General features: G+C 39.0%; 1 long non-coding RNA gene and 1 pseudogene across 1 annotated transcript in view; both read right to left on the reverse strand.

The window, feature by feature from the left end:
• LOC105372529 (uncharacterized) overlaps positions 1–27837 on the reverse strand; it is a 117487-nt gene that overhangs the window by 24511 nt on the left and 65139 nt on the right. The window contains exon 2 of the long non-coding RNA XR_937261.2: positions 20936–21429. This is a non-coding gene — a long non-coding RNA (uncharacterized LOC105372529). The remainder of the gene's footprint in view (positions 1–20935; positions 21430–27837) is intronic.
• Positions 11065–11537, reverse strand: RPS11P1 (ribosomal protein S11 pseudogene 1; annotated as a pseudogene).

Below are 27837 nucleotides of genomic sequence, written 5' to 3' on the forward strand. Positions count from 1 at the left end.
AACACAAAGAGGTAGAATTAGACAATCCCTAAGATTTCTGCAAATTCTAAAATATTGTTATTAATATTACATCAAGTGACTGGGCAATATTCATACTCCTTAATGGGTATTCACCCTACTGAGTTTACAATTCAAATTATGGAAGTTTAAGAAGGATTCAATTCTGAGATTTGGAAGCAGCTATAAGATTGTTGAAAGTGTATTTGCTAAAGCAACATAGTTTAGTTTAGTATCCCTGCCTCCTACCAGCTAGGATTCAGGACAAGTTCCTTAAACCCTCTGAGTTTTTGTTTCTTGTCCTACAAACCTGAGATAATAATGACTTGCTTCACAGGGATGTGTGGAGATAAAATGAGATAACATGTGTTAAACAGCTGGCAGGTAATCAAGAAAACTTAACTCCCTTCCCCCACTCTCAATGAAGAGCAATTTCAAGATGGGAATCACTAGCATTTTTCCTGGGATGTGATTTTACCAGCCCTAGGGATAGAAGGTTAGGTCAAGAGCCTTTAGAGAGTAAAAAACACCCACGCAGTGAGAATATGCATTCCAGGCATTTAGGCAGCTTCACCTCTCACAGGGCCTTGAGAACAGGGCTTAGGAAGAAATCTCTGAGACTTTTGGTCTCCTGTTGTATGGTGCAAAGAAATGAGATTGTAGAGTTAGATTACGTATTAGCACAGTGCGTTTGAGACAAAAGCTGAAGTGGATGAAAAGAACCACATAGAAATAGCTGTATATTACACTGGCTCATATGTTCCTGTCAAGTAGAAAGTAGATGCCAGAAAGTCCTTTTAGCAATTGAAGAGCCAACAATATATGCAAAAAAAAAAAAATGGCCCAGGACAAAAAGAAAGGTTTTATATACTTTTGCATTTCGGTAAAACACAGGTAAGCATGTGCTGAGAGTTTGTGGTGGTTTGGAATCATTTTTATTCTGTGGATGACTTCAGAATGACAACTTTGATAGATTCATTCTTGCCAACAGAGTATATATAAATTCACTCTATGAATGAAAGGAGAGAATGGGAGTGTTTTCATGATCCATCTTAAGACTTTAATTGGCCAGGAACCCATCAATGTGCTAAGGCATGCATGCTATCTTAGAATTAATAGAACAAGAATGCTACAGCCTAAGAGATCTTCCTGAAAGAATAGGAGAAACCTCTGATTGCCCCCAAGTTCTCTGTTCAAGTGTATTTTAGAACTCATACTGAACTTATATTTACTCCTATTCTGATGAAATGTACTAAGACGGTATGTAATTGTATACATGATATAACCCAACTAAAAGCAGGGGTGTTGGGAAAGAATATGCAGTACTGATCCTTATTGAACACCTACTAAACTACAGGCAATTTGAATGTATTGTTTAGATTTTTCAAAGATTTCCAATGAAAGGGTTATAATACTAATTTTTCAAAAGAGGACAATTACATCTCATCTGATGCTGGTCAAAGGTAAACCAAAAATAGCCTTTGCTGTGAGAAGAATCATCTGACCTCCTGTCTCCTAAACTCCTAATGTTGTTCATTGAAAAGTAGCTTGCATGAAAGTGACCTTCTTTTTTCAAAAGGCTTTTTTTCCTCATCCCAGTGAACCCTGGTAGTATTCTGAGTGTAGAAAATAAAACAACAACAAAATGAGCTGAGACATTCAATTTCTCTTCCAAATCAATTCCTGCTTGCTAGGGCTTGAATGGAAACATGCTTTTTTTTTTTTTTGCATCATTGAATGAAGCTATTTGTTAAGATGTGTTTATTAGACTTACATAAGAGTTCTTGCCCAAAGAACTCACACTCAGTTTAAGGGGGAACAATCTTTATGATCTCTGGCTCTTTCATTTTAACATTACAGTGAAAGGCTCATCAACATGTCTACTTTTTAATTTCCACAGATGAAGAAGCAACAGAATAGAAGGAGGTGTTTAAAAATCATATACTCTATTTTTTTTTTTTCAAATCACAGGTCTATGTCAAGGTATACTTTTCACAAACTTAAGGATACTTATCTGATACAAATAGTGAGGGCCAGGCATAGTAGCTCACAGCTGTAATCCCAGCACTTCAGTAGACTGATGCAGGAGGATCACTGGAGCCCAGGAGTCCAAGATGAACATGGGCAACATAGTGAGAACCCCAGCTCTGCAAAAAAAATTCTCTTAAAAAATTAGCCAGGTGTGGTGGCATGCTTCTGTGATCACAGCTATTTGGAAGGCTTAAGCGGGAGGATGGCTTGAGCCTGGGAGGTCCAGGTTGCAGTGAGCCACGATGGTGCCACTGCACTCCAGCCTGGGTGACAGAACAAGAACCTGTCTCAAATAAATAAATAAACAAATAAATAAATGCATACATACATACATAGAAAATAGTGTGCATGAGTCAAAAATTTATTTAATTTACTAATAAAGGAATCAGCAAGGTGGTAAAGTGGTTGAAAGAGAATTTAAGAGACTAAACATATATATAGGCACTAAAATGGTTCTGGGATAAAAATGCTAGCTTTGATTCAACCCTGGTTAATGTTCCACAGGCAAAAAGACTGAAACTTTTGGAGTTATTTTTTTTTTAACCATACAAATCCTATACAGGTGTCTTTGAGACTGGTCCATAGTCAGTAGCAAATACTAACTCAGGCAGAGGACATCAAAGCTTTTCCATAAAGAACCAGATAGTAAATATCTAAGACTTGGTGGGCTATATGGTCTCTGTTGCAACCACTCAAGTGTACCATTGCAGCACAAAAGTGGCCATAGAAAATACATAAATGAATGTGGCTGTGTTCCAATAAAATTTTGTTTACAAAACATGTTAAAGGTCAGATTTGGCTAGTGTGTCACAGTTTGCCAAAACCCGCCTTAGAAAATTAAATAATCTTGGGAGGGCCTATTAGACAAGGTTCAGGTAGTGCTTTGAAAAGGTACATCGACTATTTGCATTATATCTTAGTATTGAATCATTTTTCTCAGATCATGTATAGTTCATGAGATCTTATCCAAGCTACTCATACTTCAGTTTCCTCACTTGCTGAATAGGGATAATTTTTAGAGATCTTTGGAGTATTGTAAGCATTCAGTTGGTTAGTATTCAAAAAATGTTTATTCTTTCCAACTTTCATTGTATTCTTATTCTCATTCAAAAAGGTGAGAGATGATCTCACACTGTCTGTAACAAAATCTGCTTGAGAAAATAAAGCTGCTTGCCTAAGTTGGAGGCAGAGATCGACTGACTTAAACAGCAGGAGGTTCAAGGAGAAAAGAACAATTGCCCACGTTTTTTTCTTAGTGTAACAAAAGTCCTGCTGCGATGTCCGATCTGGTCTGGGGCTTCTCTGGCACAGCCAAGACAAGCATGGAATGAGCTATGTCTTTATTTCATTTGCCAGATGTGACTTGAACTATAAGAACATCTCTGGAGACTGAAAAGGCTCAGTGATTTTTACAAACAAGTGGCTGAGGCCACTAGCCCACTTTATTTCCCCAACTGTGTGATGTTCACCTGTCAGTGTAAGCTTGAGCTGTAGGCATGCAAGAAGAGGTCATGCTAATGGTGATAAAGAAGGCTGAGCTGGGATCTATCCAGGGAAGATAATAAAACCCAATGAGCTTATTGGGAGAAAAATATTTACTTAGGAAGATTTTATCACACAATGTCCTGGGAGAAGAATTTAACCAGAAACACAAATGCCTTAAACTGGATTCTCCAGAATACATCAGGAGTTGTATGTAGAAGGTTTATTAAGGCATGCTCTTAGAAGGTGAACCTGTAAGGAAGTGAGGAGCAATATTGGGCAAACAGAAAAGCTGACCCCAGTGCCATTATGAAGGGGGTCTCAGCTGACCCCACAGGGAGCTCGGAACTGGGATGGTCTTTTGAGCTGTTGCAATTGAAACAAGGGGGCCAGACTCCTGTGTTTTTACATTAATCAGTCGTGTCCACAGCCATCCCCTGGAAGATGGTGTAATGTTGGAAGAGATAGTTCCTTGAAGCCAAGAGAAATTCCAATGAGGGAAGAAATTCTGAGCCATCAGTATTCACTGTTTCCATCACCTGGAGAATGGGTATGTTAACCCTGAAGAGCATCTTCTATACCCAATTGGTATAGATAGGGCTTCACATTTCCTCAACTGCATTTCAACTATGTAACTATTAATAAAAAGGAAGTGTACTTATTTATGTTCATTGTTGATGCTGATTGCAGATTTCTCTGGCTATGCTCATAGCAGGACCTGTTAGTTATCTATGGCTATATAATGAATTACCTGAAACTTAATGGCATAAGACAACAAACACTTATTATCTCAGTTTCTCTGAGTCAGGAATCCAGGCTGTAGCTTAAGCTGAGTGCCTCTGACTCAGGATCTCATGAGGCTGCAATCAAGATATCAGCTGGGGCTGCTGTCATCTCAAGGCTTGACTGGAGAGGATCCGCTTCCAAGCTCCCTCATGTGGGTGCTGGTAGGAGGTCTCAGGTCTTCACTGGCTGTTGCTGGGTAAGCAACAATCGCTTGCTTGCCATGTGGCTTCATCCACAGGATTGCTAACAGCTTGGCAGCTATCTGCTGCCAGAGTTGGAATCTGAAGAAAGGAAGAAAGGAGGAAGGGGGGAGGGTGACAGGAAGGAAGAGAGAGAGAGGAGATAGAAAAGAAAGGGAAAGAGGAGAAAGAGAGAGAGAAAAAAAGAGAGAAAAAAGAGAGGGAGAGAAAGAGAGAGAAAAAGGAGAGAGAGAGAAGAAAGAGAAAGGGGAAAGAGGGAGAAGAATAGAGAGACAAAGAAAGAGAAGAAAAAGAGAGTGGAGAGAAAGAGAGAGAGAGAGACCCTGACATAGAGAGAGAGAGAGAGAGAGAGAAACAAAACAGAGAGAGAACCTGAGCCCAAGACAGAAGCCAAGGTATTTTTATAACCTAATTGCATAATTGACATCTCATCAGGTCTGCTATCTTCTATTCATTATAAGTGAGTTAATAATTCTAGCCTACATTCCAGGAGAGAGTTGTATAGAGCTTGATGACAGTAGGTGAGGACCATCTGAGCCATCTTAGATGCTGCCTACCTCATAGAAGAATTAAAAATATTTTTGAAGAAAAATTAGTAAGACCATTCTGAAGCACAATCAATCAAATGTACCTATTAAAAATTTTTAAAAATCATTGTAGGACACACTGAATTTGGGTTAGGATGATATCCAATGTGTAGACCCTCAGTGAATTAAAATAAAGAAAGAAACTGCTAGCCATCTGCATGAGATAAGTACAGAAATTGAAAACAAACCTTAAGAAATTTTATGTTACTTGACATCCAAGTGCATGTTCAATGGATTCATCTCATTAACTGGGTACAGAACAAAAATATTGGCTCATAAGGGATTTGGAAAGAAAACTCATTCCTCACCACAGAATCTGAGAAGCCCTGCTACAACGATGTAACACCCTTGCCAGGTGGGCCACTCTAGGGCAGAGGAATAAGCTTAGGTTGTGGCAGATCACTAGACAGAGAGTCAGGAGATTTGGTACTCATTCTGCCTCTGATATTTCCTAAGAAGAACTGAATATCACTTAACCCACCTAGATTTGTTTCCTGGACTGCAAACAAATTGTGTTAATTACAAGGTTCCTTTGAAGTCTAAAGGATATTAATTTGTTAAGCAGTCCCTTCTATAATTAGACAAACTAATGTATTAGCAATTTTCCCCTGTGATTTCTACATCTCCGAATCTGCCATCTGCAGCTATCTAGACCTCACTCAAATTGACTTACTTCTATAAAATCCTTTCCACCTCATCATGGCTTCTTAAATGGTTCTAGAGACAATTTGGTAGTCTGTACTGACTCACAGAGCAGAGAGTGATGGCCATCTTCATAGTAATAATATCAATAATAATTTTTCTCTAAAAATACAGTTTTAATAAAATAACTTTTTTAAAATGAGCTATTTAAATTTTTTTTACTCAATAGTGCTTCATAAATGTACTGTTTCAGTTTTTAGTTATGTTACTAAACTCCAGAATTTACTAAATTTTATTCAGTAGAGGTATTTAGAGCTCTTCTGTCGTCCTGTTCCTATTCCTCCTCATAGCAAATGAAGATTGCTCTGGGAAGTGTATGTCCTAAACATCTGTCAGCAAAGACTCTTGGGTGATTGGTACAGAAATCATCCTATAGGTCAATGTTCTTAAATGTGGAGTTTTTGTGGCTAGCAGACTCTTCCATGGTCAGTACATGCAGCATAATCTAGAGAAGTATAATTATAATAATTGTAATAATAATAGCAGTGATTATCCCTTGATAAAATAGTATGTGCCCAGTGCTGTGCTAAGTATTTTCTGTGTATCACTTCATTCCTCCTAAAAAGTCACTTAATATCTCTGAAATAGGTACTGGCATCTTCATTTTACAGATAAGAGAGCTGAGGCTTGAAAGATAAATCAACTTCACCCAAGGAGAGGTAATTAAGTAATTTCTGGAGCTAAGATTTAAACCCACTGTGGTTGACTCCAGCATACAGTCCCAGTTTGAGCCTTAGCTATGCCTACTCTAGAATTCAGGCCTCCTGGCCAGGTCTGAGGAAGCACCCACGATGGATCTATCTGCATGGGACATCCTAAAGGAAGAGATGATTATATAAAATTTCATGCAAGAACAAGAGGCAGTGTCAGATGTCAGCATTTTAGACAACAGTCTGCCACCCATGAACTCTGGTCCATTCTCTTCAACTTGAGTAGCAGTGTTGTGCAGGGGCTATGATTTTGCTAAGGCACCCAGAGTGTGAAGTAACTTTGTTCTGTGGTCTATGTAACCAAGCACACAGAGCCCTTTCTTCGTGTGGGGTACAGTGGAAGCATAGCACTGATGTAATTCCCTGAGCTGTGCTCTGGGAGAGCTACATCTGGAGAAGAAAAGAAAAAGGAGAGGGCTTAGGTACCTGTCTATGCAGGCATTGTTGGGATATAAGGCAGAATCTCCAGGAAACATGGAGCAGTACTTGTGGATTGTGAAGGAGCAATGGAAAGAGTAGATTCCACCTCCTGCTTGAGAGCTTATGAGACTCTCCCTGAGGACCCCCAGAACTACTTGTGCAGAGTTTGGAAGAACTGGGAAGAACTAAAGGAAGGCATGTTTTATTAATATCCAGAATGTAGTTCTCAAAAAAAAAAAGTTTCATGTCTATCAATGCTTTCTAAGATTGTATTAGGTTTTATTTTTAACTACTATATTTTGGTTCTTATGGAATAATATTAACTCCATTAACCATGAAAGTCTTTATTTGTATGATTAGACATGAAGTCTGTTATGGCTATTGTACCTTAATATAAATTACCTGATCTCAGTCACACATCTTACATTGGCCTCTCGTAAATCTAGTTGATTTTAGCCAGTTATTCCAATTTATGAAGGATATTTTGACTCATGATTCTACCAGAAAACATTTTAGTTCTCTTCCAGCTTTTATAGTTTATAAATCTAATGAATATACTTATCAATCTGTGTATTATTTCTTGATATAAAATACAAGAGACCTCAGCTTAGAGCCAAATTTCATCAAGCCCAGATAACATCAGCCAAACTTCAGCAAACCGATAGTGAGTGAGAAACATAATTTTTTTCTCACTAAAAATGTCTTGTAATAGTCAAAGGTCAATGTCAGAGACCTGACACATCCTCAGCCAGTTTCACGCAGGTTGTCACTAAACCTCTTCCCAGTATGTTGTGATTGTTCAACACACTATACTTTCATGTACCTGTGATATCACCTGGCCCAGATTTCCCTAAATCCTCCATAATTATATTGTGCATAATGTTGTCAAATACCTTGCAGAAATCAAGATGCATTGCCTTTAGATAGAACTCTCTTAAAAATACTAGATTTGTTTTTGTTTGGAATGACTGATTTTTTGCCAACTGAGTTTCAACGGCAGCATGTGTAGGGCTTATATTTCAAATTTCAAAGTCAAGACTTATCTAATTTTTCTTTGCCAACATGGAGACAGGTGTTATGGAAGACACACTTTGGAAATAGTGTGGATAATACCCTTTAGGAATTTGCTGCCCTTAAGAGAAGTTGGCATAGACACAAAAGTGTGAAATGTCCTGTAGAAAGGTACAGATCCTGTGCTTTGGGAATTAAGATGGTGGAGAGATCATCTTCTGCATGATTCATCAGAGTAACCTTCCTTTCAGAAGTTGTAATTAAGCTGTCTCTGGTTGTGTGTGTGTGTGTGTGTGTGTGTGTGTGTGTGTGTGTGTGTTAGTTTGGGTTTTCCCAGAAGTAGACTCTGAAATAAGGAGTCAAACACCAGTAGAGAGGTAGAAAAGTGAGACAAAGAAGGGAGAACAGTCAGTGAGGTTCACATATGAAGAAAGTTACCACAGTGGGCAACTTAAGTCCTTATGGGAAGCCCTGGGAAGGGTTGTTGAGCAAGCACTTTAGATGAATTTTCTCCAAAGGATGAGAAAGCTGCGGTTTTTATGCATTATTCCTGACACCCATAGGTTGAGGCTGCTCCTGGGGGAGGAGGGCGTTAATTCTCTGGCATTTTCTGCTTGCCTGTGCAAGGTCAGAATTGGTTTCCTTGGCCAGAGAAAGGCCACAGACAAAGAGAGGCCAAGTGCTGACACGTTGGAAGTTAAGCCAGTGAGTGTGAAATGGCAAAGATGAAGCAGAGCTTCACACATAGTGTGTGCTTATGTGTGTGTTTGTGTGTGTGTGTGTGTGTGTGTGTGTACATGAAAATGAAGATATCCAAAGAAGGAGAAGATCTTCCAAGCTGAGAGAACAATAATTTATCAGGAGCAAAGTATACATGAAATGATTTAAGAGAAATTAGATGATAAGGATGCATCAAAATCCACATTGCCTGGATAACGAAATGTATCTAACATTCCTTAATTCCACAATGGGATTAGGAATTGTCGATATCCTCCTGGCAGGCCTGGCAAAATGCTGATTGTTTCTAATTAAAATGAAATAATAAAATAATGAAGCTAGAATTTGCGAGGCACACCAGAATTTTCCATCCATACCCTCAACCTGTACTGAATTCTGAGCTGTCAATTTGGCAAGAGAGAACGCCCAGCTCCTTGGAAGGCATTTTGTTTTCCTCTTAAACTCATCAGGAAAGGTAAGAGTACTCTGGGTAAAGAAGGCAACCTGGTTATGTTATCTTAAATATGGATTCCTACTGCCTTCTGTTACTCGTACCTTTTTTTCACTTAAGCATGCTATACAGTATGCTCTAGAATCTAGAGTTTAGAATATAAAGTCTAGATCCAATAACCTATTTGTTGTTTGATAGTAATTAAAAAGCATTGCCCTTATAAGACATTACACAGTGTTAAAAGTCCTTTTCTACTTAGAGAATACTAGTTTTATTTTCTTTGCAATTACAGTTCTGCATATTTATATATTCTTTCAAAATGTTATTCAAAACTAGATTTTTTTCTATATGAGAATCAGAATTTATACTCCACTGATAAAACATAGATTCTGACTGTATTTCTCTGAAAGTGCTTTCATATAAAGCTTTTGGTTTAGAATGATCCATAATGTATGGCAAATTCGGTGGTTATTTGACAGAATTGGAGCTTAGGATACTGCAAGGCTGGAGCGATGCAGTGAGCCAGGAAGTGTCCCCTGGGAACAGAAGGTAGTGGTAGTACAGCAGCTAGTAATTTTTTTTTTTAATCTGATATCTTCTGAAAGAAAAAAAGCACTTCTTCTATCATCTTCAAGACAACACTAATAGCCTTAGAGCTGCTGATTCTTTAGGCAGTAAAACACATTTTTTTTTTCCTTCAACACACACATTCATCTTGTCTATGGCTCTTTGGAGACATCTCAACTTTGACATCATCTTTTCTCCATCGTATTTCCAGATCACCCTCTCTGGGCAGTAGATTGTTCTGTCTAAATATAAGTTTCATCATGTTACGACCATCACTCACCTTAAGACCTTCACCCCCCCTTTCAGAAAAGTTATCTATATTCTATTTTAATGAATCATGTTGTTCTTAAAATAGTTTATTTTTTTAAATCCAGAGTTAAATTAGGAAAATATGTAATATAGAGAGTTTTTTATATTAAACTTATTGAATTTAAAGGACTTCATGTTATTCTGGGGTTATTATTTTTTGTTTTAAAATTTGCAAGTATATTCTCTTTATTAAATGACTGTATATTAGGAGAGGCTTTATCAGGTGCAGAAATAAACCCCCAAATCTCAAAAGCTTAACATGAAAGTTGATCTCTCATTCACTCAAAGACTGCTGCTGGTCTAGAGGAATTTTCAGGAATCATTTTTCCAAGCAGTAATGAAAGATTTTAGACTACTTGCCTACCCATTTTAGCAATGCCATCTGAAACATGTGGCCCCCCAGGGTCACTATGAAAAGAGCTGGAAAATACACTGGAACTTATCTCTGCCTTAGCACTAAAGTGATCCACATCCCAGACTACTGGCCACAACAAGTCTTGTGGCCCAAGGTAAAGTCAAGGAGTGAAAAGTGTAGTTTTTAAGTTTAAGTTAAGTCCAGGAAGGGATGCTTGAGATATAAAATAGTTTTCACTGGGAATTTCTGCTACAGAGATTTGTTCCTTAATGCCATGTTATGATAACAGAAAAAAAATTAACACCCTATGTGAGCACCCCACTCATTTGGGGATAATTTCTTGGTGCATGAAATGCCAAAATTTGGTAACTACCAATGCATTCTGTAAAATATAAACATCACAGCCAGAACCATCACATGGTTCTTCAAGCTCTGACCTGGCCAATATCTCCAGGCTTATCTATGGACACCCCCAATATGAATCATACTTCCTAGTTTGTGTCATTGCAGTTTACTAACATATGCCCATGTTCCAGTCATGCCCTACACCTTGTTCCATTTTCCCTTTAAGTCTCTTATTGAACATCTCCTGGTTGGGGATGCCATGCCTGATTCTTTCAGACACAGCCAATGCATTCATATCCTCCTGTAAACATGGATGCCCCTTTAGATCTTTGTGGGTGTGTGTGGATGAGAAAATAACTTTACTTCATTTTGGTGAATGGGAAGATGTCCATAGTCAGAACTTCTGAAATTGTTTCTTGGTGTTGGACACTTTGGTGACCTTGAGCATGTTGAAGTGTACAGTCTTGCTCAGGGGCTGGTACTCACCCACTGTGACAATGTCACCGATCTGGATGTCCCTGAGTGGGAGAATAGGTACACAGGCATATTCTCATGGCACTTCTCAACACAATTATACTTGGACATGTAGTGCACACAGTCTGGGCAGATGACAATGGTTCTCTGACTCTTCATTTTGTTCACCATGCCAAACAGAATCCTCTCTCAAATGGAGATGTTACCAGTGAAGGGAAATTTCTTGTCAGTCTAGGTGCCCTCAGTGTCCTTTTTGGGTGTCTTGAAGCCCAGACCAATGTTCTTTTACTACCGCGGGAGCTTCTCCTTCCCAGTTTCTCTCAGCAGGACTTTTTTTGTTTTGAAAGATGGTTGGCTGTTTTTGATAGCCTCACTCTGTCTTAAGTCTGCTATCTTTTCTGCTTCCTGAATAAAAAGCCTACTTTAGTTCATTGTTTTGTAGACATCCTTGAATCATCAAATAGGCCATGAGTTCTTTGAGTAAAGGCGTTGAGTTTTACTCATCTCCGTAATTCCAGAATCCACCAGACTGCAGGACTTAGTGCTTGGTAAACACTGAAGGAAAACTTGGCTCTGTTGATCAAAGCTCTCCTTGTTTATATTTTAATCAGATTTTTTGAAAGGGTCTCAAAGAATGGTTAAACTCTACCAAGTCTACTGTCCCTTGGCTTATGTAGCTTCTGAAAGTCATATATTCATCAGCTCTTACCTTATTTCCTCCCCACCACCATCTTGACCTATGCAATTGGTGAGGCCACAGACCCCTAGCATGAGGCCCTGTTTTTCCCACAGCAATGGGATTTATGAAATCATTCGAACTTCTCTGTCTGGTGGGGTTTGTGTTGATGCTGCTGTGTTGCAGTGAACAGGCGAATAGGGTCCTCTTTTCAGAAATTGTACAAAGCTGTGGTAAATTTGATTTTCATTATGATCTGATGGCACAATCAAGTAGCAGTTTTCAGCTTACTGATTGTAACATGAGAGGACCACACTCATTTCCTTCAGTAAATGTTCACCAGGAATCTCTGCAAAGATGCAATGGAAGACTGAGACATAAGTAGAATTCCCTTGAGAAGTGTTCACAGAACTTAACTTACTTGATTACATTGCATACTCACTTTTTGCAAAGCTACAATATGGATGAGGAAATGTCTTAACCTGCTGGACTCATAATAGATTACATACATGCTGGAGTTAGAAAGAAGATGAACGAGACAGCCTAAGGAATAAAGCTACAAGACAAATGGTCCTCTAAGCGAGGGACCACGATCAAGGAGTGAACTCACAGAAGAAAATAAATCATTGACTCATCTCCTCATGCTCCTTAACAGCTACTGGCAAGTTGGTTATTAAATGAACCTTGATAACTTTGGAAAACTAGTCAAGTACCAAGCAAGACACAATTTGTGATTCTTGGCATGGCTTGTATTACTGGCTCCCTGTGCCCGGGACAGTATTGAAAGGAGAAGTATCTATAAACAGAATGAATAATGTGCAGCCATAATATATTCTTTGTTTATTTTTACATCAAATGTTTGGAATGTTGGCACTATTAAGAAACTCATTTAATTTTGATTCCCTTTTGAACCTGTGATGTTATAATGCAAGCCCCCGAAATGAGCCATATTCCTAGTGACGAAAATTGGGTGCTGGTGCCATAATTATACCAATGTTGGTTTTGATAAGTCTCTTTTAATTAACAGAATCTTTGAAGTTTGCTGGCAATTTTTATTTTGTGAAAAGGCCAGTAATAATAACAGAAAGGTACCCGTTTAAAATTGTCCACCTGGTCTACTTCTTAAAGCTTTTCATCTTTGGATTGATTTGCACGTCATGACCAATTATGGAGGTGGGAAGATTCTATTATACTCATTTTGCAGATGAGGAAATTGAAACTGGGAGCTTTGGGGACTTGCCGGAGCAGGTGAGAATGACTCTCACACCGAGACTCCTAGAGACATCCCGCTCCCTGATAATCACAGTGGTTCAGTTCTCAGAACACGGGCTTTCCTTACCTTGCCACTATTGACACTTGGAGCCAGATAATTCTTGGTTGTGAGGATCTGTCCTGTGTGTTGTAGTATGTTTTGTAACATCTTTCCTTTGCCTACAAGGTGCCAGTAGCAATCCCCCTAGTTATGTCTCCAAACATTGCCTAAAATCTCCAGGAGGACAACATCATCTGATTGAAAACCACTTGACTAATGGAATCGGGCTCCATGACAAACGGCTTCTCCCGTTTACCTGGTTTACTCTTTCCTGTCTGCGTGCCAACAGGGGCCTCAATTTTTTTTGTGTGTGTGACAAATTATAAAAAGCTACAGTGAATTTGCCTTGCACTACGTCCTGACAGCATAATCAAATAACAGTTTTCAACCTACTGCCTGCACAGCAAGAAGACAAAGTGTGTAAGGACGGGAGCCACATTTTTTTTCCTTTAATAAATCTTCGTTCAGTGAATGAAAAAGTGGATTGCTGCTGCTAACCACGAGCCAAGCAGGTTACAGACTCTACACACATTATACAGTTTCATTCCCCAACCACCTATGCATTACATATTAAAAGGCCTGTTTCTGAAAGGCAGAGTGTAGAGGATTTGTAGGGCAGTGAAAAGGTATCCATAATCAGTGATCTATTGCCAAACCTTAACAGGAAGTCACATGGCCAAGGAGAACACGGTTTGTGGAGTTCCAGCACCAGCCTCAAAGCAGAGCATGGAAGGGTAAGTTTCCAGCTCAGAGACAATTGCTTCATATTGGGCACAATTTCTTGTACTTTCTTCCAGAGTATATGGGTATTTTATTTTCTTATATTTGTTTGTTTGTTTGTTTTAATGTCGCACTATTCCCTCTTTGTCTTTTGTTGGTATTTTAAAGACTTTTCTAAATCAACCCAAATCTACTTCTTTTCTTTGTTGCAGTTTATTCCATTATCTGGATAAACAGCTCTGTAAATGAGCACCTGGCAGCTGCTGCTTCTCCTTTTCCCTCTCCTTCCCCTTCTCTTCCTTTTTTTTTTTTTTTCACTCTTTTGCTCTCTCATTCTCCTTCTCTTTCTCCATCATCATGCTTTTGCATATATGAAAGTATATCTAAAAAAATCTAGAGCAATTTGGTGGGACTAAGGGCACATGTTTTAATTTTCAAACACATTACCAAATTGCCGTTTAAAAATATAGTAATCTATTTTTACCTTCAATGTTTGAATATATTTTTTATCACAATCTTACCAACATGGTATAAAAATATACTTAAAATATGTTCTTCATTTTTAAGGTAGGAAATTATGTCACATTGCTATATTATTTTGGATTTTAAAATTTTGTATAATATTCAACATTGGTTCATTTATTGTAAATCTTTGCATTCTTTTGCTTGTTTAAATCCTTGCTCACTTTTTCTTATTGATGTATAAAATCTTTTTACAAACTGAGGACAATTGTAATATGAATTATGAATATTTCCCTTGCTTGTTATCACCTCTCTTCTGACTTTGTTCTTTAGATATAATGTTTTTTAATTAGTGATACAGTTTGGACATTCCCTCCAACTCTCATGTTGATTGGTAATCCCCAGTGTTGGAGGTGGGGCCTAGTAGGAGGTGACTGGATCATGGAAGTGTATTTCGCATGAATGGTTTAGTACTATTCCTTTGGTGCTGTCCTTGTGACAGTGAGTGAATTCTTGTAAGATCTGATTGTTTAAAAGGGTGTGGCATCTTCTCCTTGCTCTCTCTTGCTCCTGTTCTCACCAAGTAATGTGCCTGCTCCTATCTTGCCTTCTGCCATGAGTAAAAGCTCCCTGAGGCCTCCCCAGATGCAGAGCAGATGCCAGCACCATGCTTCCTGTAGAGCTTGCAGAACTATGAGCCAATTAACCCTCTTTTCTTTACAAATTACCCAGTCTCAGATATTTCTTTATAGTGATGCAAGAATAGCCTAAAACAATTAGAAAGTTTTATACATTTCTCATTACAAATTATGTTACACATTACCAAGGTTCTTTTCTAGAACTTTCTGTTTAATTACATTAAAGAGTAATTTAATGTGCAATTTATATTGAGATAAAGAATAAGATCCAAATTTAAATTATTTTGAGAAGACAAATCAGGTTTTTCTTAAACAATACAACATAACTGATTTCAAATGTTGCCTTTGATATATGTTCAACTCCTGTGTGCATTTTGCATAATTTCTGAACTCTATTATGTTCTACTGATCAGAACATGTTATTGCCAGGATGTCATTTTAAAAAAAATGAATGAGTTACTAGGGGATATTTTTTTAATGCTGATTTGGATCCAAAGCCAAATGGAAAATTTTAGGAGTTTCCTCCAGTGGACTTTTTTCGAAGTGATCTTTTAAAATTTAACTTCAATAGAAATGTGTTGATTTATCTTATAGATCTTTCACTTACTGCTTTGAAGTTTTCTCTTTGTGTAGGACATTGTCTCTGTTTAGTGGGGTTGTCAGATGGTTTACATCATCTTCATTTGTTCCCTTAAGAAACATTTTTTTTTGAGCTACTACTATATCTAGGGCATTGTTCTAAATGCTAGGGATACAGCACTGAGCAATTCAGAATAGGTCTTTGCAGTGATATTGTAGTGGGTGGAGACAGGCCCTGATTTTTTAAAATAACAGAATTCAGATGTATCAAGGGCTATGATATAAATAATCAGAGCCACAACATAGAGAGTAATTGAGGTGGGGCCAGGTGAGATAAAGTGTCAGTGAACTCTCTGAGGAGGTGATGTCTCGGTTTGATGTCTGACAGCTATAAAGGGAGTTGTCATGTTTCTGTTCTTCGGTGCAGTGTCCAGGACTGTGCTTGTCATATACTGTTTCTTGACAGATATTTACTGAATGAACCAATCAATCAGTGATGGCTGGAGGTTCTGGCCTTGGCTGTGGGAAGCACTTCATGTTGCCTTTAAGCTTCTATTATGACAAGCTGTTTAGACAAGTTAAGTGGTAGGTTTTTACTTTGGGGAGGAAAGAGATTTTTCCTCAGTCTTTATTCATTACTTATTGCAAAAGGGATTTCGCAATGACTGATTTCAACATTTCTCCCTGGGCTTCCAAACCACCCTGGTCCTTAGCAAGCCCAAGCAAGTTTCCAAACACAGGGTTTTTCCTTCAAGCCCGACCTCCCAATCTGCCATGAGAGAGCTTTGCACATGCACACCTGTGTGGGGCACAGCACGGAAGTGAGAAGGAAGTTGAAAACAAGCCCGGAGGACCTAGGTGATATGTTTTCAGAATGTTGCCTCTCCCAAAATATTTCCTGTGGATCAAAATGTCTTGCTTAGACATGGTATCTGTGGCTCCATTTGCAGTGGATGATACACCAGCCCCATCTTGTGCTTCTCTAAAAATCTTTCCACTGTATAATTTTCAAAACAAAGAAATTCAGACTAGCTTAAGACACTTGCTTTTCATTGATGACTTGAGTAACAAAATATAAAATGAAAAATCAGAATGGATGAAAAGGTGAATGTTTGTATCTTCCATCGATTGCTTCATCTACTGTCTTTTTGTTGAGGGGATTTGTTTTTAAGATTGAAAGCCATTGGCTTATTTATTTATTTTTTTTTTGCTATGGTTTCTCTTCATGATTATTGATCTCTATTAGCATGATAATTATAAATACTTGATAAATTTCTTTCTTTGATCTGGCCTACTTGTCACTCAACAGTCTTTTAAACTCTAGATTCTTTCTTTCATTCTTGACATTTGCCATTGTCCTCCACCCTGAATGCCTCCCTGCTGTTCTCAAAAGCTGCCTAGAATCATTGAGAGAGTATATTGCGGTATCAAGTACCATGGCTTCAGGCTCCGCTGCAGCTGCCTGCTTTCTGAAAGCTCCCTTTATTCTTTGCAACTGCACTTATCGAATTCCGCCTAACAAATGTCAGCTTTTTTCCCCTTACCTTTCATGCAAAACACACACACACACACACACACACACACACACACACACAGTGTAATAAATCCTTACCTCTGCACAGTGTACATTTATACACCTTGTAATTGCCTTTCTCTGTTGGTTTTAGTCCTTTGCCCTTTTATTCTTTCCTTTTGTACTCTGGCTTCCTCAGCTCTAGTATTCCCAGCCTTGAAATCCAAATTGCAAATGCAGAAAATATGCCCACCCATTTAGGACAAACTGAATGACTCCAATTGTAGAGGGTAGCACTGCGTCTGGTGGTACAGCTCACTAAAAGCACTCATTGCCTGGTTCATAAGAAAGTAGCAGGTCTTGTATTCAAGACTAAGAATCTGTGAACTTCAGAGCACACTGTGGAGCTTCATGGAGGTGTGCAATAAATTAATATATTGTAGTATATCTATATATAAACTATATATACAGTATAGCATATTTGTGGTAATATGTAGTATTTTTCCACCGGCCACCATATGCACCCACATGAAAAAAGCTGGAAAGTTTGTCGACTGAGTGTATGATTCTCTGCTGCTCCTCTGATATTCTTTTTGCTGGTTTTAAGTAACAGCAGTTATTAGGACCAGCCATGTTTTCCTGCATAGAATAAACACTTGATGAGAGTGGCCTTGAGGAGGTCAATTAAAGCAGATGTAAAGATTATCCTGCCTCTATTGAGTTGAAAATAGGAGCTAAAAGAGCTCTTCACTTAACTGCAGGCCATTAGGCAAGAATTAAGGCTTTCCTTATAAGGAAACTGGAGTTATTCTGAAGTCATATTTGTTGTTTTATAGAACAATTCAAATGACCATTAAATTCTTTCAGAGCTATGAGCACCAAGGCCCCCTGAGGAATGTGAATGGACCTTTTTTTCCCCAAACCTCAAGGATTCTAGGAGCTGAATAGGACTTTAGAGACAGGACTGGATAGGGAATTCCTAAGGGCTTTTTTTAAGCCAATATTCCATGACTCTCTGACCTAACCCTTTGCTACTCAAAGAGTATAGTAGTCCATACACCAGGAACATCAGCATCACAGGCACCACATGAGAATAGGTTAGAAATGCAACATCTTAGGCCTCACTTCCACCTGCTACATCAAAATTTGCATTGTAACACGATCTCCAAGTAATTCATGTGCACATGAGAATTTGAGACACCCTGATCTACTCTAATCTCTTTTTTCCCCAAATAATAAAAATGAAATAAATTTCCCAAGGTCACTAAGTAAATTAGTAGCTAGGATAACTAAGAAAGCATTACATTAGTCAAGCTGTCCATTCTGGATAACAATCTCCTTTTTCCAGGCATCTAGTTCTTCACCTATATGTCCTGGAGTTGGCCTATGTAACCCAGGACCATCTATCTCCAGATATCTGTAGACATTCTCGAAGTCACCTCCTCCATCAGGACTTTCTGTGTTGGCAGAGACGTGCTATGTGTGCACTGACCACTTGTGCCTGTTGAGTACCTGAAATGAGGCTGGTGGGTCTGGAAAGCTGGAGGAGGAATGAGAGCTCCATCTCTAGTGCATGTTCATCACTCAACTCTAACGTGAAAAGAGGAGTTTCAGGGCTTCTGTTTGGATAATTCTGCATGGTGGTAATAGCTTTCAGGAAGACTTCACTAGAAAAAAACTCTAGGTTATTGATACAGACAGGAGACAGGGAAATATTGGGTAGAAGAGGGCAGTACCCCAGCAAACACCCCATCCTCAAGCCTGAAAACCCATGGCCCTAAATGAGGATAGGCATTTCTGTTTTCATTGCCAAAAAGTGGCCCTTTGGCCAGCCATGCCCCCTATCCTGCACCCATATAAACCCTGAACCCCAAACTCCAGAGCAGACCAGCAAGCAGCAAGCCAGCAGACCACCAGAGAGATGGCAGAATGATGCGGCAGAGAAAGGGAGAAGAGGGTTGGTCAGAGAGGAGTCCAACTGCTGGGCGGCCCAGCTCCGGGGGAGGATCACCTACCCACTCCATCCCCCACTTCCAGATCTCCATCCATCACACTGAAAGCCTCCTCTACCACTTAATAACACCTCACATTCATCCTTCGGGTCTGTGTGTGACCCAATTTTTCCGGGACTCTGGACAAGAACTCAGGATACAGAAAGCTGTTACACTGGCCCTCTGCTTTTGTGAAAAGACAGAGGGCCTATTGAGGTGATTAACACCCAAGCCATCTGTGGCCAACAAAGCTGAAAGAGCTTTGTAACACTGGAGTTGCAGGTACCCACTCCTAGACACTACCTGGGAGCTGGAGCTGGAGCCCGGAGAGCTCGCCTGAGCCTCTGCACCTGCCTGTCTGCATGCTCCCCTGTCCCTCAAGGGGTTTTGAGCCACACCCCTGTCGCAGGTCCTGCGAGGAGAATCAGGGAACTCTCTTGTTTTATTATCATTTTTGAACTGGGAAAAAGAGCAAAGAATCTTTAGGGTCATCTTTGAAACTCACAGTTTGTTGGATAAAATGTAAACAATCTAGTAACTTGCGGCTTCTTAGGCAAATGTAATGTCCCTGTTCTTGTGTTTGTTCTGAGGATTTTCCATTTAAAAAAAAATGAATGTTTGTGTACTGCTTATGATTTACCTGGCTGTGAAGTTTTAAATTGTCTAACTTAATGAGTGAAGCTTTAAATTGTCTAACTTAAAAAACACATTTCAAAACGTTTCAGAGAGAATCATGCAGACTCATCTAGTCATCATCTGGTTGTGTTGACTAATGGCCAAATTTTCCATTTTTTCATTGCTGCCAGTTTCCATACACCTCTGCAATGTGATTTTGTAGCAAAAATTGATGTCTATGTCCACACCTATAAATTTACTTTATGATGTACTTTGTAAATGTAAACATGCAGTATAATACATTGGAAGCAATGAAGTGCCAGTTCTGAACCGAGGCCCAAATGGCTTTGTGTACTTCCATTCTTTTAGAGAACCTGCCATTGATGTGGACAAGTCTGCACTAGCCTCTGGAAGACGAAAAGGTCCAGGCATTAGAAAAGACCCCAAGCCATTCTACCTGTCCCAGCTGAGTCCCACACAGACCAGCCATCCCCCAGCTACACACAGGTTTACTGCAAGCATGCGAGTAAATCCAGTGAAGTTCAACAACACCCAGCCAAAATCAGCCAAATTGTCTAGTCTACTTCCAGATTTGTGAAAATAGTAAGTAGTGCTGATTTTAAGCAACCAAGTTTGGGAGTGATTTGTTACAAGATTATTATGACTATAGAGGACTGCTATGCCAATGTTGTCATATTTTAACATTTTCAATGTTATTTCACCTTTCTAAAGAGAAAAGTGGACTTTGAGGCCATGATGAGATTAAGTTCCTTAGGATTAGAGTCTTTTAAAGAGGGAAGGACATTAGAATTAGTCCTCAACTATAGACAGAGTTTTATGGCTGAGAAAATGGAGGCCTAGAGAGGGGAAACAAGTACCATTGTATCACCCTGCCAGTCAGGAGCAGAACAGGACACAGGTCTCCTGTCTCCAAAGTCTTTGCAAGTCCTCAGTCCGTTCTTTCATGAATATGCTCTGAGTTTTGCTTGTCTGCCAACCAGCAAGTCTTTGAAAACATAGCTTTAAGAAAGGAGATTACAGTTACAGAGACCAATGCTTCCGACTTTACAATCTGATTCTTCAGTTTCTAAAGGCCCTCTTGATTCTTTGTTAAAAGAAATCCCCACTTTGCCATTTGTCTTTTATGAAAAGATTAGTGGATAGCTTTTACCATCACCATAGCACCGCTTACTTAATCAACCACTATGTTCTATTTGTAATTTGTCAAAGATGTTGGATGTTATAATAAAAAAAAAGTCTTGAACGTGGTGCATTTTCTACTCACCATTGAGTGAATTTCTTCCCTGGAGTGTGTTCACTTCCCTGGCAAGTTAGTGACTCAGCTTGTCTTCTTGCTTCTATTCTTTTTAAACTCTGGTGGTCACGCTTTACATCTCAGAGATTATAACATATTTTCACGTAAATTATCTGATTTGAATTTCCCAATAACCCATTTCCATCTCCATGAGAAAATTAAGGCTTAAGGCAGTTGTGTGGTTAGCACCAGGTCAAGTGGACTGGAAAGAGAAGGGCTATGCCAAGCTTCTCGATTTCTGTAGTCTGATTTTCTACTGATGATGTCACTTTGCCAATTTACAGTCTGCACCTGTTGGGTTTGTTTAAGTGCCAGTCATGTCCAATTTTCCCCTTCTTGCTGAAATGCCCTGGTCCAAAGACCCTTCCTAAGGAAGTAGCCCTGGGCTTTTCTTGGCAGAGAGGTTGTCCATGATGGATGATCTCAGGTCCAGAGCCCTTCTCTTTGCTGGGCCAGGATTTAAACTGAAAATATGAGGGAGAGAGGAATCTGTGAGTCTGAAGAATATGAAAGGAAAACCTAGAGAGAGATTATAGGCAACCCGTTGTTCTACTCTGTTCTTTGGCGCTTTCTGTTTCCAGTTCCAATCCATTCATGTCCTTAAACTCTGTTTTCCTTATGAGGACTTGAATTCAATTCACACAGTCACCTTTCCTTTGTATGGCATTTTATTTTTTTAAAAAATAGTAGTGCCATTTCATAAACAAAATCAATCTGTTAAGGGACTTGCAATCAATTATTATTATTATCATTTCATGAGGAATAAATATAGCTTTGAAAGGAGATTAAGTGACTTGCTTAAGGTCACACAACAATATAATAAAATTTAAGCTTAGTTCTCTCACTACTAAGTCCTAAGAACTTTGGGATTAAAAAACATGATATGGAACATTTTTAGTAGGCTACATATAGTATGTCTCTCAATTTTCTTTACTGAAAAATCTGCAACAATCACCTCGGGGATTACGTCAGAGGAGAATTTGGAGCCTCACAGAACTGCTCAAAAAATCCTGCTGCCAGCAGTTTGTTGATATTTCAAGGCAGGGTACATATCACGTCCCACTCTCTATACCACACTGAGCTTTTGCCTTCTTGAAGGCTATTCAACAACACTCAACACTTTAGTTGCAAATCACAAAACCATCTTCCAAGTTTCACCTAACAATGTCAAAGGCCCCATTGCCCCTATATTTCTCCAAAGGAAACATAGAGCCATAGAGCTTTCTTGTAAACACACAGTTGACAATTGCTCTGATAGTGCAGAATTCCTAAGGTGAATATATATATATATATTCAGTGGATGTTTATTTATATGCTGTATGTCATATTTATGAAATGCTCCATGAGATGTCAAATAAACTGGTATATGGTTCTTTGAACACTAAACATCCACTGTATATTTTTGATAAGGAGGAAAGTTATGGCCTTGAGATTGTGCCTTGCACACCTTTGACTATAGGGAGAGTCATTGACCAAGGATCTCAATTGCTGTAGACTGACATCCATCACCTTCTTTGCATTGAAGCTACTCTCCACGAATAACTGAGCATGGTAGGAATACTAAGGGAGGCCAGTTTCTGGAAGACATGGGGTTCCTCTGACAGCCAACTTTGGCTCAGGACCTCTTTGCCAAGCTTGCCAAACTTTCCTTAGATTACACAGTTGTCTTGGGTACTTCCATACAATCTTCCTTCTCTCTTTCTCTCCCTCATGGGATTCCAACCTGCATCTCAATCTAACAGTTCTCCCAGCCTTCCCTGACTCACCCTGATTTTTCTCAAGACATTTTTTCTAATAAAATCTTTGCCTAGCTAATTGCACCTTGGTCTTCTTGGAGGAACTGGCAGGAAGCAGATGAGTGTTATATGTTTAAGTCAGCAGCCACTATATGTATATATACTTTGATATAGCAACTTTGATACTAAAAATCAATTTTAAAAATTATTATAGACTCTGAAGATGGTTCTAGTCTTGGTCAGATACCAATAAGTGCCTGCTCTTCCCATATTTATCCTCAGATTACAAAGAATCCAAGAGCCTAGGCACAGCTGCTGACAGAGGCTGATACACCAAATCTGTACCATGCAAGTAGTGAGCAAGATAAGACAATGGAAGATGTGGTCCACTGAAGCATCTTGTCCAAAATGCTTTTGTATCATAGAAGTCTCTTTCTATACCTACGGCCTCAAGGAAAGCAGAAGTGACAGAGGCAGATTGTTTTAAATCCAACGCCCTGAGTAGAAATTTGGGCAGGAATACCTCACCCACACCCAAAGGACAAAACTTCCTCCCCCTTCCTGCTGGTCTCAGCTGCTGATCCAAACTGAACAGAGAGGGAGCAGGGAAACCATTACTCTTCTTTTTTCTCACAGCTCTTGCCAAGATGGGAATTGATTCCAATTGTGTTCCAGAAAGAACACTGTCTATAACTCAGTTCACTTCAGCCTGATGCATTCCCAAACCTTTATTAAGCAGCCCTATAAATGGCAGAGTATTAAATCCTGAAGCTTTCCTTCTTTATTTGCTTCAATCCAATGTAAAAGCAGCACTACTTGGCTTTCCCTTTTTTCCAATAATTTATTTATATTTTGCCTAATTCTATATTCTATCTAATCAGTTCCTGTTAGAGTAGATTGGATTGAAGCTATGCTGTAGACTTAAGCATCATTTCCCAAATTTTAATAAGCATACTGAACTACTGAGGATCTTGTTAAAATACAGATTCTAGTTCCATAGGTCATTGGTTAGGGACTAAGTTCTTGCTTTCCTAACAAGTTGAGAGGGGACCAAATTGATGGTGTGAAGCTGAGGCCCTAAAGCCATGCTTCTCAAACTTTAGCATGCCTCAGAATCACCTGAAGAGGTTATTAAAAATAGATTCCTGGACCTCACACCAGAGATATTGATTCAGGAGTACTGGGGTGAAACTCAAGATTTTGCATTTTTTTTGGTAATTGATGAGTTTAATTTAATAACTTGGAGGTTTATAAAATTTCTGTTATTTTACTTTAGGTTCTGGTATACATGTGCAGAATGTGCAGGTTTGTTACATAGGTATATGTGTGCCATGGTGGTGTGCTACACCTAATGACCTGTCCTCTAAGTTTCCTCCCATCACCCCCCAACCCCCAACAGCCCCTAATGTGTGATATTCCCTCTCTGTGTCCATGTTTTCTTATTGTTCAACTCCCACTTATGAGTGAGAGCATGCGGTATTTGGTTTTCTGTTCCTCTGTTAGTTTGCTGAGGATGATGGCTTCCAGCTTCATCCATGTCCCTGCAAAGAACATGATCTCATTCCTTTCTATGGCTGCATAGTATTCCATAGTGTATATGTGCCACATTTTCTTCATCCAGTCTATTATTGATGGACATTTGGGTTGGTTCCATGTCTTTGTTATTGTAAATAGTGCTGCAATAAACATACCTGTGCATGTGTCTTTATAGTAGAATTATTTATATTCCTTTGGGTATATATACAGTAATGGGATTGCTGGGTCAAATGGTATTCCTGGTTCTAGATTCTTAAGGAATTGCCATACGGTCTTCAACAATGGTTGAACTAATTTACATTCCCACCAACAGTGTGAAAGCATTCCTATTTCTCCACAGCCTCACCAGGATCTATTGTTTCTTGACTTTTTAATAATCACCATTCTGACTGGTGTGAGATGTTATCTCATGGTGGTTTTGATTTGCATTTCTCTGATGATCAGTGATGATGAGCTTTTTTGCATATGTTTGTTGCCCACATAAATGTCTTATTTTAAGAAGTGTCTGTTTATATCCTTTGCCCACTTTTTGATGGGGTTGTTTGTTTTTTTCTTGTAAATTTGTTTAAGTCCCTTGTAAATTCTGGATGTTAGACCTTTGTCAAATGGGTAGATTGCAAAAATTTTCTCCCATTCTGTAGGTTGCCTGTTCACTCTGATGATAGTTTCTTTTGCTGTACAGAAGCTCTTTAGTTTAATAGAATCTCATTTGCCAATTTTGACTTTGTTGCTATTGTTTTTGGTGTTTTTGTCATGAAGTCTCTGCCCATGCCTATGTCCTGAATGGTATTGCCTAGGTTTTTTTCTAGGGTTTCTATGGTTTTGGGTTTTATATTTAAGTCTTTAATCCATCTTGAGTTAATTTTTGTAAAAGGTATAAGGAAGGGGTCCAGTTTCAGTTTTCTGCATATGGCTAGCCAGTTTTCCCAGCACCATTTACTGAATAGGAGATTCTTTCCCCATTGCTTGTTTTTGTCAGGTCGGTCGAAGATCAGATGGTTGTAGATGTGTGGTGTTATTTCTGAGGTCTCTGTTCTGCTCCATTGGTCTATATGTCTGTTTTGGTACCAGTACCATGCTGTTTTGGTTACTGTAACCCTGTAGTATAGTTTGAAGTCAGGTAGCATGATGTCTCCAGCTTTGTTCTTTTTGCTTAGGATTGTCTTGGCTATGTAGGGTCTTCTTTGACTCTATATAAAATTTAAAATAGTTTTTTCTAATTCTGTGAAGAATGTCAATGGTTGTTTGATGGGAATAACATTGAATCTATGAATTACTTGGGGCAGTATGACCATTTTCATGATGTTGATTCTTCCTATCCATGAGGATGAAATGTTTTTCTATTTGTTTGTGTCCTCTCATTTCTTTGAGCAGTGGTTTGTAGTTCTCCTTGAAGAGGTCCTTATATCCCTTGTTAGCTGTATTCCAAGGTATTTTATTCTCTTTGTAGCAATTGTTAATGGGAGTTTATTCATGATTTCACTCTCTGCTTGTCTATTGTTGGTGTAAAGGAACACTTGTGATTTTTGCACATTGATATTGTATCCTGAGACATGCTGAAGTTGCTGATCAGTTTAATGAGTTGTTGAGTTGAGATGATGGGTTTTCTAAGTATAGAATCACGTCATCTGCAAACAGAGACAATTGGACTTCCTCTCTTCCTATTTGAACACCCTTTATTTCTTTCTCTTTCCTGATTGCCCTGGCCAGAACTTCCAGTACTATGTTCAATAGGAGTGGTGAGAGAGGGCATCCTTCTCTTGTACCGGTTTTCTTTTCTTTTTTTTTTTTTTTTTTTTTTGAGATGGAGTCTCGCTCTGTCACCCAGGCTGGAGTGCAGTGGCTTGATCTTAGCTCACTGCAACCTCCACCCACCGGGTTCAAGCAGTTCTCCTGTCTCAGCCTCCCGAGTAGCTGGGATTACAGGCGCCTGCCACCGCGCCCGGGTAATTTTTGTATTTTTAGTAGAGATGGGGTTTCACCATGTTGGCCAGGTTAAACTCCTGACCTTGTGATCCACCCACCTCGGCCTCCCAAAAGGCTGGGATTACAGGCATGAACCACCACGCCCAGCCTGTACTGGTTTTCAAAGGGAATGCTTCCAGCTTTTGCCCATTCAATATGATATTGGCTGTGTGTTTGTCATGAAGAGATTTTATTATTTTGAGATATGTTCCATCAATACCTAGTTTATTCAGAGTTTTTGACATGAAGGGATGTTGAATTTTATCAAAGGCCTTTTCTGCATCTATTGAGGTAATCATGTGGTTTTAGTCTTTCGTTTTGTTTATGTTATGGATTACATTTCTTGTTTGCCTATGTTGAACCAGCCTTGCATCCCAGGGATGAAGCTGACTTGATCGTGGTAGATAAGTTTTTTGATGTGCTGCTGGATTTGGTTTGCCAGTATTTGATGATTTTTGCATCGATGTTCATCAGGGATATTGGCCTGAACTTTCCTTTTTGTGTCTCTTCCTGGTTTTGGTATCAGGATGATGGTGGCTTCACAAAATGAGTTAGGGAGGAGTCCCTCCTTTTCAATTGTTTGAAATAGTTTCAGAAAGAATGGTACCATCTTCTCACTGTAACTGGTAGAATTCAGCTGTGAATCTGTCTGGTCCTGGGCTTTTTTTGTTGGTAGGCTATCAATTAATGCCTCAAGTTCAGAACTTGTTATTGGTCTATTCAGGGACTTGACTTCTTCCTGGTTTCGTCTTGGGAGGGTGTAGGTGTCCAGGAATTTATCCATTTCTTCTAGATTTTCTAGTTTATTTGCATAGAGGTGTTTATAGGATTCTCTGATGGTAGTTTGTATCTCTGTGGGGTTAGTGGTGATATCCCCTTTATCATTTTTTATTGTATCCATTTGATTATTCTCTATTTTCTTCTTTATTAGTCTAGCTAGTAGTTTATCCATTTTGTTAATTTAAAAAAAAAACAGCTCCTGGATTCATTGATTTTTTGGTGGGTTTTTCATGTCTCTATCTCCTTCAGTTCTTCTCTGATCTTAGTTATTTCTTGTCTTCTGCTAGCTTTTGTATTAGTTAGCACTTGCTTCTCCAGCCCTTTTAATTGTGATGTTAGCGTGTTGATTTGAGATCAATCTAGCTTTCTGATGTGGGCATTTAGTGCTATAAACTTCCCTCGTAACACTGCTTTAGCTGTGTCCCAGAGTTTCTGGTACATTTTCTCTTTGTTCTCATTGGTTTCTAAGAACTCCTTGAATTTTGCCTTAATTTCATTATTTACCCCAGAGTCATTCAGGAGCACATTGTTCAATTTCCATGTAATTGTGTGGTTTTGAGTAAGGCTCTTAATCCTGAGTTCTAATTTGATTGCACTGTGGTCCGAGAGACTGTTTCTTATAATTACAGTTCTTTAGCATTTGCTGAGGAGTGTTTTACTTCCAATTATGTGGTCGATTTTAGAATAAGTGCCATGTGGCACTGAGAAGAATGTATATTCTGTTGATTTGAGGTGGGAAGTTCTGTAGATGTCTATTAGGTCCACTTGATCTAGAGCTGAGTTCAAGTCCTGAATATCCTTGTTAATTTTCTGTCTCCTTGGTCTGTCCAATATTGATAGTAGGGTGTTAAAGTC

This window comes from Homo sapiens, chromosome 20 (genome assembly GCF_000001405.40).
Source record: "Homo sapiens chromosome 20, GRCh38.p14 Primary Assembly".
In the NCBI taxonomy this organism is placed as follows: domain Eukaryota; kingdom Metazoa; phylum Chordata; class Mammalia; order Primates; family Hominidae; genus Homo; species Homo sapiens.